The sequence below is a fragment of the Homo sapiens genome, chromosome 3, assembly GCF_000001405.40.
Source record: "Homo sapiens chromosome 3, GRCh38.p14 Primary Assembly".
Classification (NCBI taxonomy): Eukaryota; Metazoa; Chordata; class Mammalia; order Primates; family Hominidae; genus Homo; species Homo sapiens.
The window spans coordinates 81,084,657-81,100,360 of record NC_000003.12 but is presented as its reverse complement, the minus strand read 5'-3'; the positions used below and the strand labels follow the sequence as shown (position 1 = coordinate 81,100,360).

The window sequence follows — 15,704 nt, the reverse complement described above, 5'->3', positions numbered from 1 at the left end:
TTCAGTGAAACCTACAGCTGAAAATCGAATTTCCATGCCAAACAATACAGGGTAAAAGAGGAAAACAGTTTGACTCATTGAGCAACTGTAGACAGAAATACAAACTACTCTAATAAAACATAGTATTATTCACTTAAGTAGCACTTTAAATAAAATGTAACATTTTGCACTTAGGTAGCACTTTCCACTTACCAGCACTTTTACATAGAGCAGACCACCTGAAATTTGTAATAGCTTTGTGAGGATTCCAGTGTATTTATAGCCCTATTTTCCAGAAAAAAGTAGTGATGCTCAGACAATATGTATTAATATTTTAATGATAATAAGATGTAGGGTTTATTGAATGCTTGTAATATGCCAAAACTTGTACTGAGCACATTACATCAATTATCTCCTTAATAAATGTACATTTTATCATCATCTTTATTTAAAATTCAATCAAGCTGTGGCATAGAGGGATGTTACCTTTGCTGAAACAGTCTTCCACATGCATTTGGACCTCAGTCAGGCTTTTTCCTAATATAACTAGCATTTTATTTTTTGCTTTTTATTTTTTTAAAGACAAGGTCTTACCCTGTTGCCAAGACTGGAATCAAGTGGCCTGATCGTAGTTCACTGTCACCTTGAACTGCTGGGCTCAAGTGATTCTTCCACCTAAGTAGCTAGGTCTACAGGTACATTCTACCATGCCCAGCTAATTTGTAAATTTCTGGTAGAGGTGAAGTCTTGACATATTTTCCAGGATGATCCTGAACTTCCGGGCCCAAGTGATCATCCCTCCTTGGCCTCCCAGTGTTGGGATTACAGGAATGAACCACAGTGCCCAGCCTGACCAGCATTTTCTAATCTTGGTATTTCTTATACCTTTGGTGGTTTCCATCCACATTCCTCTACGGCAAAATATTCCCCATTTTATAATGTCCACTTAAAATTCGAATTTCTCTCTTTATGCGTATTCTCATCTTTCAGTGGAAATTAAATTATTTAATACATTTATTTCTGATTTAATGAGCCACCACATCTTGATCTTGTTGTGAGAGAATCGTTCTCTGCTCAAATTACTTGTAAAATGTTGGGTTAGAAAAACTTTAATATACGTTTCTTCTGACAAACCTTCCAGAGCCTTTTATATAACAATGTGAATGTCTCTGAGAAGAGAATATGCTTTCCATTGTGTAAAATTATTTAACTTTTTCTTGTCACCTCTTAACATCTCCAAGGATCTCTTATCGCAGAATACTATTAGGGAGAAATAGCATTATTTGGCACTATAAAATTGAATTATATTGCTATAATCCACAAACTTGTATTTCTTCCTTCACTTGATTGTTTATTCTTGAGGGCAGAAAGTTTATCTTGTGTAAAAGTGCTTACTTTTAAGAGCTTGGAAAAGTTTTATAGAATTCGGTAGTTTTGTTTTTTGTTTTTGTTTTTTAGAGGGGACAGGGTCTCACTTTGTCTCCCAGGCTGGAATGCAGTGGTGTGATCTTGGCTCACTGCAAGCTCCGCCTCCCGGGCTCAGTGATCCTTCCACTGTAGTTGTTTTTTTAAATGTTAGTTAAGCTTAATGTAATGTTTTCCATACACTTATGGTTTTGCAGAAGATAAAAAGACTATTTTTATTAGTCAATATCATATTAAATACTTTTTATATACATATCACATATCATAACAATCTTATATTGTACCAGAGAGATATTAAACATTGCACTTAACTTACCATTGTTACTTACAATGTTAAATAATTAGTAGGATACCTGGGTTCTTTTTTAGAATGGTTTAAATATAGGATATATTCTTTGTTTTCTGGTATGTCGATTAATGTGGGATGATAGGTAGCTCCTTAAAGTATCTTCATTTCTTGATATCCTTAACAATATTTTATGGTTTAGTCGTTAAGAACATTTTCTCATTTACACAATACTATGCTTGTTTGAATACTAAAAGAGACTGAATTAGAGAATTTTTCTAAATCCATAAGTAGCATAGAGGGAGACATAAGGTGTATAAGCAAATGAACTGCTTTTTTAAGTTTGCAAGTTTTTCTGTGTTCTAAATCAGTCGTTCTAACAGGAGGTGTTTTTTTGTTGTTGTTTTTTACATTTGTCAGTGTTTGGAGACTTTCTTTTATTTCTTTAAACTGGGGAAGATGTGTATCTAGTAGTACTGGTACATGTATCAGTATCTGGTGGGGACAGGTCAGGGATAATTTGCTCAGGATAGTATTCCCTATTGTTTATGACCCTTTTATTGGCTGTCTTCCTTCTCCGTGTCACCTATTCCCTATTGTTTATGACCCTTTTATTGGCTGTCTTCCTTCTCCAAGTCACCACTTCATGGCTTTGTTGTGCTTCTGGAATCACTTCTCATATAAGCAAATTGTGCCCATATTCTCCTCCTGGAGTTTCCTTTTGGAAAACTCAAACTAGGGCATCTGTTTAATATTTGTAAACATCCTAAAATGCACAGGACAGCCCCCCTGTTTCTGACCAAAGGACTTTTTAGTTCAAAATGTCAGTAGCACCTGGGATAATAAACCAGGCTGTAAAAAATTATGGCTTATCAATTATCATAAGTATGTGCATATATTAAAATAAATGTTTTGAGTGATTTTTCTATTTTTCATTGTTGTTATTCTTGCTGTTCAGAAATGCTTTGAAAAATGATATTCAACTTAATTTCAGAGCTACACATACATAGGATATTAGAGAAACTCAGTAATAGCAGCCATGGGAAATTTACCAAGAAGTTTTTGAAGCCCACGTTTGAGGGGCTCTCACACAGATTTCTTTTGAGACACTGAGAAAGACTGTAGCAGTGTGCTCATAAGGTATTATTGTCATTATCTTTATTATTTTACTATTGCAACAATAAGATTCTTGGCAGCAGTCATTTAGGCCTGTTATCACACCTCTCCTGACTTCTCCTCTGTCATACCGACCTTCATGTTGGTGAGTATGAAATGACCACATTTGTCATCTTTTAATATTTGGGATTTGTTGTGATTTATTTAATTAAATATTCAATTTGATATCTAGTGGAGAAGCTGTCACATGTTTCTAGTATCCTTCTCTACCCTAAGCTTACACTGGAGCTCAACGGGGGCTTTGCTGGATGGCTCCTGTACACGTCTATGGCTTCCACCTAAGCCTTTCCCTTCCTTAGGGTTTTCTAAGGAATATACACTGCCCATGAACATATGCAAAGACAGAGAAGGCTGGAAATGCTGGGAAATTACTACCCCCAGGAACAATCCTCAGTCTGTTAGGAATAGGAGTAGTATACACTCCAGTGTTTGCCTCCTGGTTTGGCACCCTGAGGCGTTATCTAAAATGTCTTCCAGAGGGCCCCACAGCAAGACTGAGCCCCAATTGCTCAGAGTGGTATTCCTCATTGTTTACCACCCTTTTATTGGCTTTCTTCCGTCTCCATGTCACCACTTCATGATTTCGTTGTGCTTCTGGAATCACTTCTCATATAAGCAAATTGTACCCATATTCTCCTCTTGGAATTTGCTTCGGAAAACTCAAACTAAGACATCTGTTTAGTATTTGCAAATTTGGATTTTTTTTTTTCATTAGAAGAGCCCTTATATTATCTAACTTCTCAGTCCCACAACCTGTAATTTTCTTTCAACTTGACACACTTACTTTGGAAAAAGAAAACCCTTAGCTACTCCTGAAAGCTCCTACCCACTCCAGGACAACAGGGTAAACCGTGGAATCACTGTTATAGACTGACTTAACTTTCCTGAAAAAAAAATAATGCTGGCTTTTAAAAATATCACGAGACAATATGTCTAGAGAAAAACGTTTAGTTTTATACTAAGAAGAATACTTTAAAACTCTACCCCCATCTTTTCTCGGTAACAGAGTTTAAGCTTTGAGAAAGTGAACTTTAATGTTATTTGGCCTGATTCATTCAAACGCTATGCCTGGAAAGCTGCTGTTAAATTAGAGAAGTTACATCAAGGAACCAAACAAAAGCAGTAAGTAAACGTCAATTTGGTTTACATGCCCGTAAAAAAGAGCAAGACTGCTGTAAAGGAAAGAAAGTCAGAATTGGATGGGGATGTCTTCAATGGCTGAAAGGACTGCTAATGGGATGTGTGAAGCCTTTCTTTTCTGGGTCAGCAGTCTGAATCCAGGCCGGGTCAGTAGAACCCAAAAAAGTCATTATTATTTCACAGCTGATTTATACACTCTTTGGAATGAGACTGGTCTCACTCCAGGTTTTGGAAGACGTGTGTCTGCAGCCAAGCACTCCCCGTCACCGAGAGCAGTGATTGGCTCTGTTCTTAGCTGCCTTGACAGAAAGGCCAGGGATTCAATGAACATTGAAGCTGGACTGCACTCACTGTGGCCAGCTTAGGAGCCTCAGTGCACTGGCCATACAGGATTGATAGCAAAGTAGCGTTTTCTCTTTTCTGTTCTTGCTCTGTATAGATTTAAGGGGAATTCAGAATATCAGATGTCAGTTTGCTATTTGTCCAATTCATTTAAAACATTTGAAAAGAAAAGGATTTCAAAGAAGCTTATCAAAAATTGCGTTTGGCATGGAGCTCTGCATGACATGCTTCAACCTAAGAGTAAAATGCCGTGGCCAAGTTATAACCCCTGTATGCGTAAGTTCATCATCGCAGCACTCACAAAGCCCACACTGCAACAGTTCTCTTTCAGGCACTTAGTTGAAAGGTGAGCAGTGTTTGATTTCCTTCTGGTTTCATGATAAGTAATAGAGTGGTCATTTTCTAACAGTTAGTAAATTAAGAAGTAACAAATGGATTTCAATTTTCATAATCTTACTCAGGGTATCTTTTGAAGTGTGTATTATTAGTTTGTACTAATGCAAAACTACCAGCTGAAACTAATCTCCCTAATGAGGTTCATTTGTCCTTTGACAAAGCAATAGTTTCCTCAAGAAAAACTTTACTGATAGTGTGGCCAGTACCTTATAATTAATTTTCTTCCCCAATCCTTGCAAGCATGAAAACAAACAGTAAATTTTTCATTTGTTCATCAGTTTCGAACAACTGTTTAGCAGAGATATGCTTGATTAATGGATTTAATTTGTTCCTTTCTTCTGTAGTCGGTTTTCATATTACATTGGTTATCAGAGGATAGGACAATAATGTGGGCATTCTCATCGCAGTCCACTCCATCAGTGTCAGTGCTGGCTTCTAGCTCCGGGTCTACATCTTTAACCTTTGTCGTCCTGCAGAATCTTTCATCAATCTGTGTTACAGTCACCTTGGGAAGAAAAGGCAGAAGCACTCAGTCAGCACTTACAGGTAGTAAAGTGTGTCATTATTTCTAACAAAATGCTGGCAGCGGTGGACCTTTCATTTCCAACCGAAATATAATTTGTGAGATCAGCAACCCAACTATTAAAAGAGAAAAATGGAAGGTACCAGTCTGGTCACTACAAGGCCCTCTATAAAAACCAACACAAAATGCTTAATGCTTTCCTGCATGCTGGGCGCTTAAAATGACTAGGGCTAGTTTTGCAAATTGAATATTATTGTCAGATAATGAAAGTACCTATGTAGAGGTCAAATAGCATCATAAAATATAATGGCAGTTTTCATAATACTGACCGTTTCATAGTAGGGCACAAATCTCCATGGTTGAAATCTGTAGTTCATTGGACTTTTCAGTGTGATATAAAAAGTCATAAAATCTGGCTTGAGGGGTTTTCATTCTTCTTTTTAACCTAAGTGTAACATGGACTTTGTAGAAAAATGGAAATGCTTAAGAAATTTTAAAAGATGCCTTTCTTTAGGACATTTTTGACTCCCACATAAAATGTAAAACTAAAACATATATTTAGATATTTTTAGGCATAAAATGTATAATATTTGTGACAGGAGTTAGCTTTTTAGTATGGAAAGATAATGATCTAGAGTACAATGTTTAAAATACAGAAAACATATTCTAAATATACATTGTTAGTTTAAAGAAAATTTCAATAATTTATTTTGGGTACTGAGTTCCATGACCTTTCTTTCTATATAATAGAGAATCTTTTAAAAATAGTTAAAATAGATTTCATTATTTGTCTTAACATACTTGTTAGTATTATTCAATATTTCTATTCTAGTCTTATGTGCAAAAACTTGAAATTAATACTTCATTGAATATCTCTGGAGCAATACATTTAAAAATAATTTTTTGGCATTTATTCCAGATAATTTTTTTAATCTTCTTTGGAAGATTAAAAATATCAATGAAAATAATATGCCTGATATTTAAGGAAACTTTTCCAATTTATATATAACCGGGATAGACTTGAACTGTTGTACTGGCAAGATTTAAGTTCTACTACCAGCTTTGTAATTTACTGTTTTTGAGTTATTGGACTAGTCATTCATTTTTGTGAGAATAATACCATATTCATAATCCTCTTATTTATGCAAATTTGAGGCTCTGTTACATCACTTCACAATGGACCAACAATTTTAGTGGCTCCCACTGTGGACTAATTTTATCAGTATTCCTTATTTTGGCATGCAATGTTCTCAGCAATCTAAGCATTCAGCCACCTATCCCACCCGTACATTTCATATGTGCAATATACATACGAAACCCTCCAGTCATCCTGAATTTCTTACTAGTCTCTCTACTCCTTGTGTATGGTTATGGCTCTGTCTCTGTGGTGTACTTCTTCCTAGCTAGTGCCTATTCACCCTCTCTCCCTACATCTCTGCTCAATAAACTTACACCTATCTTTGCAGTTCAGATAATTTTCCCCTTACTTCCTGAAGTCTTTATAAGTTATCCTTGTTGGTATTAATTTCTTCCTTCTTTCTGGCCTCATAGTACACTGTTTTCCATTATTCTAATGTACAAACTACACTAGAATTTGAAAAATAGTTGGGGCATATATGTCTGTCTCTACCATGAATGATGTCAGGAGTACATGTTTTCCTTTTACTTTTTTCTTTTTTTTTTTTTTTTTGAGACAGTCTCACTCTGTCAATCAGGCTGAAGTGCAGTGGCGCAATCTCCACTCACTGCAGCCTTGACCTCCTGGGCTCAAGGGATCCTCCCATCTGTCAGCCTCCTGAGTAGCTGGGACTACAGGCAAGTGCCACTGAACCTGGCTAATTTTTTATATTTTTTGCAGAGGTGGGGTTTCACCATATTGCCCTGGCTGGTCTCGAACTCCTAGGCTCAAGCAATCTGCCTGCCTTGGCCTGCCAAAGTGCTGGGATTACATGTGTGAGCCACTTTGCTCAGCCTAGACTACGTGCTTTTCTAATCCCACTTTTATCTTTGCCCTGTCCCATAGGCAGAACAAAAATGCTTGAACCAAACTAGAGCTCACTAAAAATACATTGAGTGGATAGATGAATAACTTGATCATAAATTGCAAATAATGTTTATTGCTTTCAAATCACAAAAATCATTTTGCCAGGCATTAACATGAAAACTACTATGAAAGGTATTCCACATAAAACATGAGGCAGCTCACCTAATAATTTAGTTCACAATATCTTACCCATTATATGCAATTTAATATGTTTAATTATTGGAACTAAGATAAATCCTTCCTTAGGGCATCTACATTTAAATATAAAAATTCTTCCAAAATGATAATTTATTTAAGGAAAACACTATAGGTATAAAAGCTTTCTCTTTTATATTTTCACAGAAAATATTTAAAGAAATAGATTCATGAAGCAAGATATTACATAGCTTCATAAATTTGCATACAACCTTGAATTTCTTAAATTATTTTATTCCATGAGTGTTCTTATTCTTATCCCTCAGTTGAATGCTGCCAGGATCCATCAATACATATTTTCAAAATTGTAAAAATTTGTTCATGCTGCTCAAATATAAGAGAGAAATAGAAAGGAAAAAACTCAACAAAGCAACTTTTATATTAGTTTTAACTTCAGCTGCTGCTGCAGTTAGGAACTTTGATAATGGATAATAAAAAGAACTTTAGTGAAAGTTATTAGTTATTGGAGAAAGTTTTTAATAAAAACTATTTGATTTAAATCACAGGTCTAGCAATCTCTCCCACTGTGGGTCTGTGCACATATAACGGGAGACATCTCAGCTCTTTGTGATAATCTCAAGGATTGTCCTTTAGTCCTGAGCAGTTAATGGAAACAAAAGAGGTCACAAAAATAAAGTCCAAATATGCTTGGCTCAAGAAAACCTGAGGCTACCCTTTGAAATTTCCTCTCTCTCTGTTATATCTGCATAGGCATCAACAGTATTCTGACCAGGCTTCTATTCCCCATTAGTCAGAGGAGTGTCTCATGCAGCTTCAGCCACCCATATTTACTTTGTCCAGGAGTTACTGCTGACCACCTGTCAGCATTTTACCCTTTTGTATAGTCCCCTTCCAATTTACAGAAAAGATGGCTACTTTTGTTATTATCATTATTTAAAGTTGTGTTTACTCAGCCTTAACGAAAACTATAAGAACAGTACAATATGCAGTTTATATTAGAATCTGCTAGGCCAATTTGACTTTAGATCAATCCCCACTGCACAGCATTCCTGGTGTCTTCTGACACTGACACTGACTGTTCATCCTTCTTGGACAAGTCCTCTCAACAAAAGCAGACACAGATCTACCAAAGCAATGAAGACTGTGAGAGCACAAACTAGGATAAAATGAAACTGGATGAAAGAATACTCCAAAGGCAAAATAAAGAAAAATGAAGTCTGTTTCCAATATAGTCAATCACTTATGTTAAAATATACTTGATTCATTCAAGCCACAACTTCTTAAATGTAACTGGTTTGTAAGAATAACTTAGACTGTCTATAGTCACATGATCTGGCAAATAGTAACTTTTTCATATTAGGGGCTAAACATAATCTTTCTTAATTTTTATTTTATTCTTGACACACATAATTGTAGTAATTAGTAAAAGTTGAGTTTATAAAATGTTAAAACCATTGTTCTCATACAAATATAAAATATGCATATGTCAATCTTGAACTCTGATTACTGAGGGAACCAGAAAGAGTTTAAAGTCAGTAAAATAAAGATTTGAATCACAGAGATTTACATCCTCTACCACAGGGGTCCCTAATCCCTGGGCCATGGACTGCACAGCAGGAGGTGAACAATGTGGGTGAGTGAGCGAAGCTTCATCTGTATTTACAGCCACTCCCCATCACTCATATTACCACCTGAGCTCTGCTTCCTATCAGATCAGCAGTGGCATTAGATTCTCATACCCTGCTGTGAACTGCACATGGGAGGGAGCTAGGTTGCACACAGCTTTTGAAAATCTAATGCCTGATGATCTGTCTCTGTCTCCCATCACCCCCAGATGGGACCTTCTGGTTATAGGAAAACAAGCTCAGGGCTCCCACTAATTCTACATTATGGTGAGTTGTATAATTATTTCATTATATATTACAATGTAATAACAATAGAAATAAAGTACACAATAAATGTAATGTGCTTGAATCATCCTGAAACCACCACCCCTGCCCCCTGTCTCTGGAAACATTGTCTTCTACAAAACTGGTGACTGGTGCCAAAAACACTGGGGACCACTGCTCTACCAGTTAAAATTGATTTCCATCAGCATTGAATTAGAGCCATTTCATCGCTATGACCATGAAGAATGTGCATTACTCTCAGTTTTCTGCAAGTTAAATTCTATTAATAGCTTAGTCAAGGACATTAAGTGGTACACACCCCAATAGCATCAGATGATCCCCAGAGTCTCTTAGGCAACAACTGGCATGCCACTGAAAGAAAACCCAGAAATCCTTTTTGCCCATGTCCAAGATTTTCTGCTTTTCCTGATTATTTTTATAGTCAAAAAATTTCCTCAATTGTTTTAACATATTAAATTGATCACAGTGTTGTATTCACATTTATATACAAATTTGAGATTGCCTTATATTCTTTTTCTTTCTCCAAGCATATTTTATCCTTGTAGCTTCCTTTTCTTGTTATTCCATGCCAGAGTATTGCAATATCTTAGACTTGCACATATTCCCTTAAGAAAATGTGAAGTTTTTTTTTTAAAAAAACAAATGAAAATCACTCAATCTCAGAAATTTACCATATGTTGAGCCTTCCATGAAGAAGAACAAATTTGAAAAGAATGGCATTGTTTCATTCTCAAACTCTAGAGAGAGAGAGAGAGAGGCATAGTTGCAAACACAGAGATGAAGGCATGGTGTAGGGGAACAAAAATAATTTAAATCTCTGAATTCTCAAAGGATTTGTGCCCTCACTTTGAGATCAGTTATATTATGGGTAGTTATCAAAGTCGTAATTGAAGACACATTAATGTGCAATTTACACTATGGAATCTAAACATTTATTTTGTGTCTAGGTTTTAATGGATGAGAGTAAGAAATTTTTTTAAAATCTAATTTTTCATATCTTAGAGACTACCCGTGATTAATGCAATAGTCATTTGATTATTAAGCCTGGTATAAGAAAGGCACCACCTTTCAGAAGAAAAGAAAGTTTTATTTTGTAGTGTGATTACTTGACTTTAAATTCAGGTATGTCCTTGAGGCCATATTAGCATGTGAATGTGTTTGCCGTATTACTGGTTGTCTGGAAATTGACGAAACAACTAAATCAGAGTAATAATAGGCCTTTGTAAAACAGCCTTGGAGATACAGCTAGATCATTTGCAAAGATATATCAATCTGGGACAGAACAGGAAATTGTTATGAGATAAACCATGGGCTGTTAGGCTTTCAGTTGTCACGTAAAACTAGTGTGGATACTACCGACAATAAAGTGTACTTAAATCCTGCATATAAGTAAAATGGAATGGATTTAATGAGCTACAGAGAAGTCCAGTTCCTTTTCTGACTTTATTAAAAGTTTATAATTGTAAGCCTTAGCAAATAGCAGAAATAAAGCATACGTCTAATTGTAAGTAAATTACGATGGAACATTAGGGGCCCCTTATTGCAGATTCTGACCCCCTGGTGTAAACTGAGTATTAGTAGCTAGCTGTCTTATTTATTGGATCTACCAATTGCTGTATGTATTTAAAATTTTGGTCTTATCATCTTTCACAATCCAGTAACTGAAAGGGAGTACTGAGTGATAAGAAGCAAAAAGAAGAAAGGATGGTATAATAGATAGTCCAGAGATACTCTCCAAACCTTCTTATACATTATGGTCATTCAAAATGCTATTTATGTAAAATTTTCATTATCTTAGGGTACGTGTAGACTTAGATGTAGTACTTATCAGCACCATAATTAATAATCAATGAATATTTTCATATGGTATAAAACATCAACATCTTCTTTAAAATTGTGATAATTTTACCAGGTATCTATTAGTGACACTAGGGTATCTTTTGTTTAATTCCAGGATCTCTTTTGTAAACATTGATCATAATAAATAGGTATGTTATTCGAACATATATCATGGATTTTTTTACTACTGTGTTAAAATGTTGAATATAAGACATAACTCTCAAAGATATAAGACAAAAATTTTGTGATCTTGTAAATAGATAGTTTGAAACTATTCTAAAAGGAGTGATTAAACAGTAAACAAAGGGTTAAACAAATGACACTGGCTTTAAGGATAAAGTATAATTCACAAATTAGTAAACTCTTAAGTGAACTTAACAATTAATCTTGAGAGCATCAAAAATGTCCCTGTTATTTCTGGGGAAGAGGGGGAGTAACAGGCATCACCCATAAATTGCTCTGTCAAAAAGATTAGTTGAAAAAAATTTTGTTAATGTCAAAATTAATGGAAATTATTATTTGGCCCCAAAATTAACTCTCATAAATCTTGAGAAAGACTTTTAGTTTTAATTTCTGTATTTTTATTTTATGGGGACAATATCTCAATTACATTATTGTTGTTAATAAAGATGTATTGGGAATACACATTAGCAAAAAATGTCTTTGATCTATGCTAATTTTGAATCCTTATAAAGAACATGCAAGACAGTGATTAGAAAAATTGTGAAGAGCAAAGAAATTGAATTAATGTAGATTGATTTATTTCTGACTCTGACTTCACAAATTCAAATGTTGCTGCTGCAAAGAAAATTTTTGTGGATTACTTAAGGTAATAAAGTAAATGGTTATGTTTTGGAGATCACAAATAAGAAGAGGGTCCTTCTGCTAAGGAACAACAAAAATAATAGATTCAAAATGCTTTGGATTGAAAACAAATGAGAAATAAAGATGATGTGATTTAAAGAAATGTGTTTTACACCCCACAACCTGCCCAAATAATCATAAAGACATTGATTGAAATAAAATTGTTCATATGAGATAAACTGCTTTATGAAATATTAGTGGAAAACTACAATTTGAAATTGGTATGTCAGAAAACGTTGTCCAAAATTTGTAAATAAGACAAGAAAGGTAGTCAGTACATTCTTCAATGTTATATGAATTGAAAAGCCACAAAAAATTTTCTAAGGAATGTATTTAAACTCACTATTTAATATTGATTAAGTGCTATAGAAATAGTGAGGTTAATTGTGAACTCGTAGACTTTTGTACGGTAGAATTGCAAAATAATTTCCATCCAGTGTAACAAATAAACCAGAGAATTGTGACATTTTTGGATATCAACCAGTTTTTATCTAATATGGCAATCTTATCCTAACTTTGACTGTAAATATCCTAGCTTCTGGGATGATCTTTGAACTGGTTGTAACATTTTACTACTTCTTTGACACGTGTTTATTTGTATTTTTGTATGTCATAATTTTCTTTTAAAAATTTTGTTAATTATAATTTTACATGTCAAATATATAACCAAATTAATAAATATCATAAGAAATATTAGCACCTCTCATGTTTACCTACATAGATTGACAAAAAATATTTTGGATATTTTCACTGGAAAATTTAAGAAATCACCTACTATTGAGCAACCTGAGGCACTTTAGCTTTAAAAAAAATAGAATAATTGATTAGCAACAGTGTTTTAGAAATAAAATTTTAAAAAATTATCTAAACTGGTTTTTATTTTATTAGAATTACATGAATTTTCACATAATGACTTCCATGGATGCCCTTAAGGGGAAAATAATAAATATAAAAAGTACCTTAAAAGTTGGACAAGACTGGCAAAATAACAAGCTCCATATGAAATATTTGACATGTGCAGAGTGTGGAAAGAATGTTGTCCCTAGATTGAGGCCTACCATAAATATCAATATAACCTTGGGAAGGCAATTTGAAACTCTTAAAATAAATCTACGAAGTGAGGAGAATTGATTAAATTTGCCTTGAAGGAAATTTCTAGAAATTGAATTGTTTTCAAGTTTATGATTTAACTATTTTATTTTCCAACTAAAATATCTAAGGATAGCTCAACAGGAGACAAAATTTTATCATTATATTGAACACTAACACTAAAAAACTGCTCTATCACTAAAATCTGGGAGAGAAACTTTCACTTGTTAGTGAAAGTTTGTTAGGCCAAACAAAACTTGTTAGGCCAAAATGTGTTCAAATGAATGCACCATGCTGATGCTCCAGATATGGCATAATTAAGTTTGCTGGCCCTCTCCTGTAAATTTGAGGTCTTTCCTGAGATTGTAAATTCAAATACCCACCAGAAGCCGCAGACAACAGAAACCTGCAAATCAGACTTTATTCTCATTCATAAAGTTGGGATTATATAGCAAGTGAGTACATGGCTTGTCTAAGGTAACTCAAAATGTAAAAACAAACAAAAACAGAAACAAAAAATTAGCTTAAAGGACTATGTAAACCTGACCAAATATATCTGTGAAGGTAAGAAAGTCCTGGTCTACACCACCAAGAAATGTGCCACTTAACTGCTGAGAACCACCATCTATGACCCACTGTTTGTTCTTCCACCTTATTACACAACCATAACATTTTTCCCCATCACTTTTAGATAGTAGTTCCCAGAAATACTATACAGGTCTGAGGTAGAAATGGATAGGTCTTGGAAGTTCACATAGGACATGTGGATTGAGAAGTACGGAGAATATATGTGGGGAAAATCGTGGGGAAGCTGTTCCCTGGGTGTTCTTGCTTATTATTCATATTCAATCTCCTTCCCTCTCTCTTTAATAGGATAAATTCAGAGTGTTTAAGATATCCAGAAAGTGGAAACAACACATTCCTTAATCATCCAGCCACACAATACTGAATGATTGCTGCTATTTTGAAATTTGGTGATGAGTTATACATGTCTCCAAGTCTTCCAGGGTAATCACTTAAGGAGTACTTTCTGACATCAAAATACAAAAAGAGGAGAAACAAGGAATTCCACCTTGTTTATAGACAAAAATATGACTAGAACTGATATTTCTGGTTGAAGTATTAGTATACTGAAAATAAATAAAAGTGAGAACTCTTACAAGATTATTTATTGGAAAAGGAGAAAATAATGATTCAAGTTGGAGAAGAATAATCTCTTGAAAGGATTGACTACAAGAAAAATTTGGAAAGCATTTACTTTGTGTTGTCAGATAGTATTAAGGCTTGGATTCACATAAGGGAGACAATAGAAGAGATGGAGGACAATTGAATTGGAGAAAGTGTTGGTAAAAAGAGATAGAAAAATGAAGATAGATGAAATAAGGAAGAATAAGAAAACTACAAATGAATAGCATAATTATTATTTACCCTAGAAAAATTAAAACATAGAAATGTCATTGAAAGTCAAAAAAGTAGAAAAATAAGAAGTAAAAATGATAATAAGGTGATAGAGATATAGGAAAGAGAACAGATACAAAGTTCAAAATATTGGTTTTCCTGAAGAAGGAAGTTGAGCAAACTCAATAATCAAATATATAATAAAAAAGACAGTTTTTAATTGTTTTATTACTGTTGTGAAGAAATGACAAATTACGAAGATAGAAAGGGATTGCCAATACAACATAGAATTAGGTGATTCACATATAAAAACTATCTAATGAACATATGAATTTTGAGCATAAAAAATATAAATATATTAAAATCAATATATTAAAAAAGAAGGAAATAAGATAAAAAATGATGAGGCTGGCTTCAGACCTAAACACGTATTAGAAGCCAAAAAACAGCAGAAATGTCAGAGGTTTGAATAGTATAACAATGTATTCCCAAGTATTATATTCATCTCATCCATTGCTTATGATGAAAAAAGGCAAGTCTAGGTATCCAAAAACATATTCTACGTCAGTCAGAGTCTCAGCAGGATGGCATGTTTAGGAAGCCACACCTCTTAACTCCAATGGTTGCCCACTTGATGTAAGGATTTAGTTTTCCTTGGGAAATAATTATTTAGAATTATTAAAAGGCTACATAATTATTTAGAAAGGATAATATAACTTATTTACTAGACTAGAACTTATAACAGTGCACTTCAAATAGCACAGAATATTCTGGGATTAAAATGGTCTTGGTTCATCAAGTATGATGTATTTTGCATCCTTTCATAACACACTTAAAAAAATTTCTCCTATCATCTGGCAGATAACAGCATAAATTCTCATTTTTTTTCAAACACAAAAACTAAACAGAAAGTAAAATCTAAAACAATGACAAGAAAATAAATTATTTCATAATTTGTCATATCTGCATGATGGGGTTATTAATTGAGATTTTTATGAGAAATGAAAATCTCCCTTCTCCCTTCTTTTGCACACTGCACCTTTTAATGTACAAATACATGACTACTAAATGGAAAAATTTCCATGATGAGCTCATATTGATACAAGTAATAAATGTAGATCTCCTGGCAATAAATCA

At 34.1% G+C, this 15,704-nt stretch overlaps 1 long non-coding RNA gene across 1 annotated transcript in view; it reads right to left on the bottom strand.

Moving 5' to 3' along the window:
• Positions 1 to 4,713: 4,713 nt before the first annotated feature.
• LINC02027 (long intergenic non-protein coding RNA 2027) overlaps positions 4,714 to 15,704 on the bottom strand; it is a 101,780-nt gene continuing 90,789 nt past the window's right edge. Inside the window, exon 2 of the long non-coding RNA NR_132411.1 lies at positions 4,714 to 5,249. This is a non-coding gene — a long non-coding RNA (long intergenic non-protein coding RNA 2027). The remainder of the gene's footprint in view (positions 5,250 to 15,704) is intronic.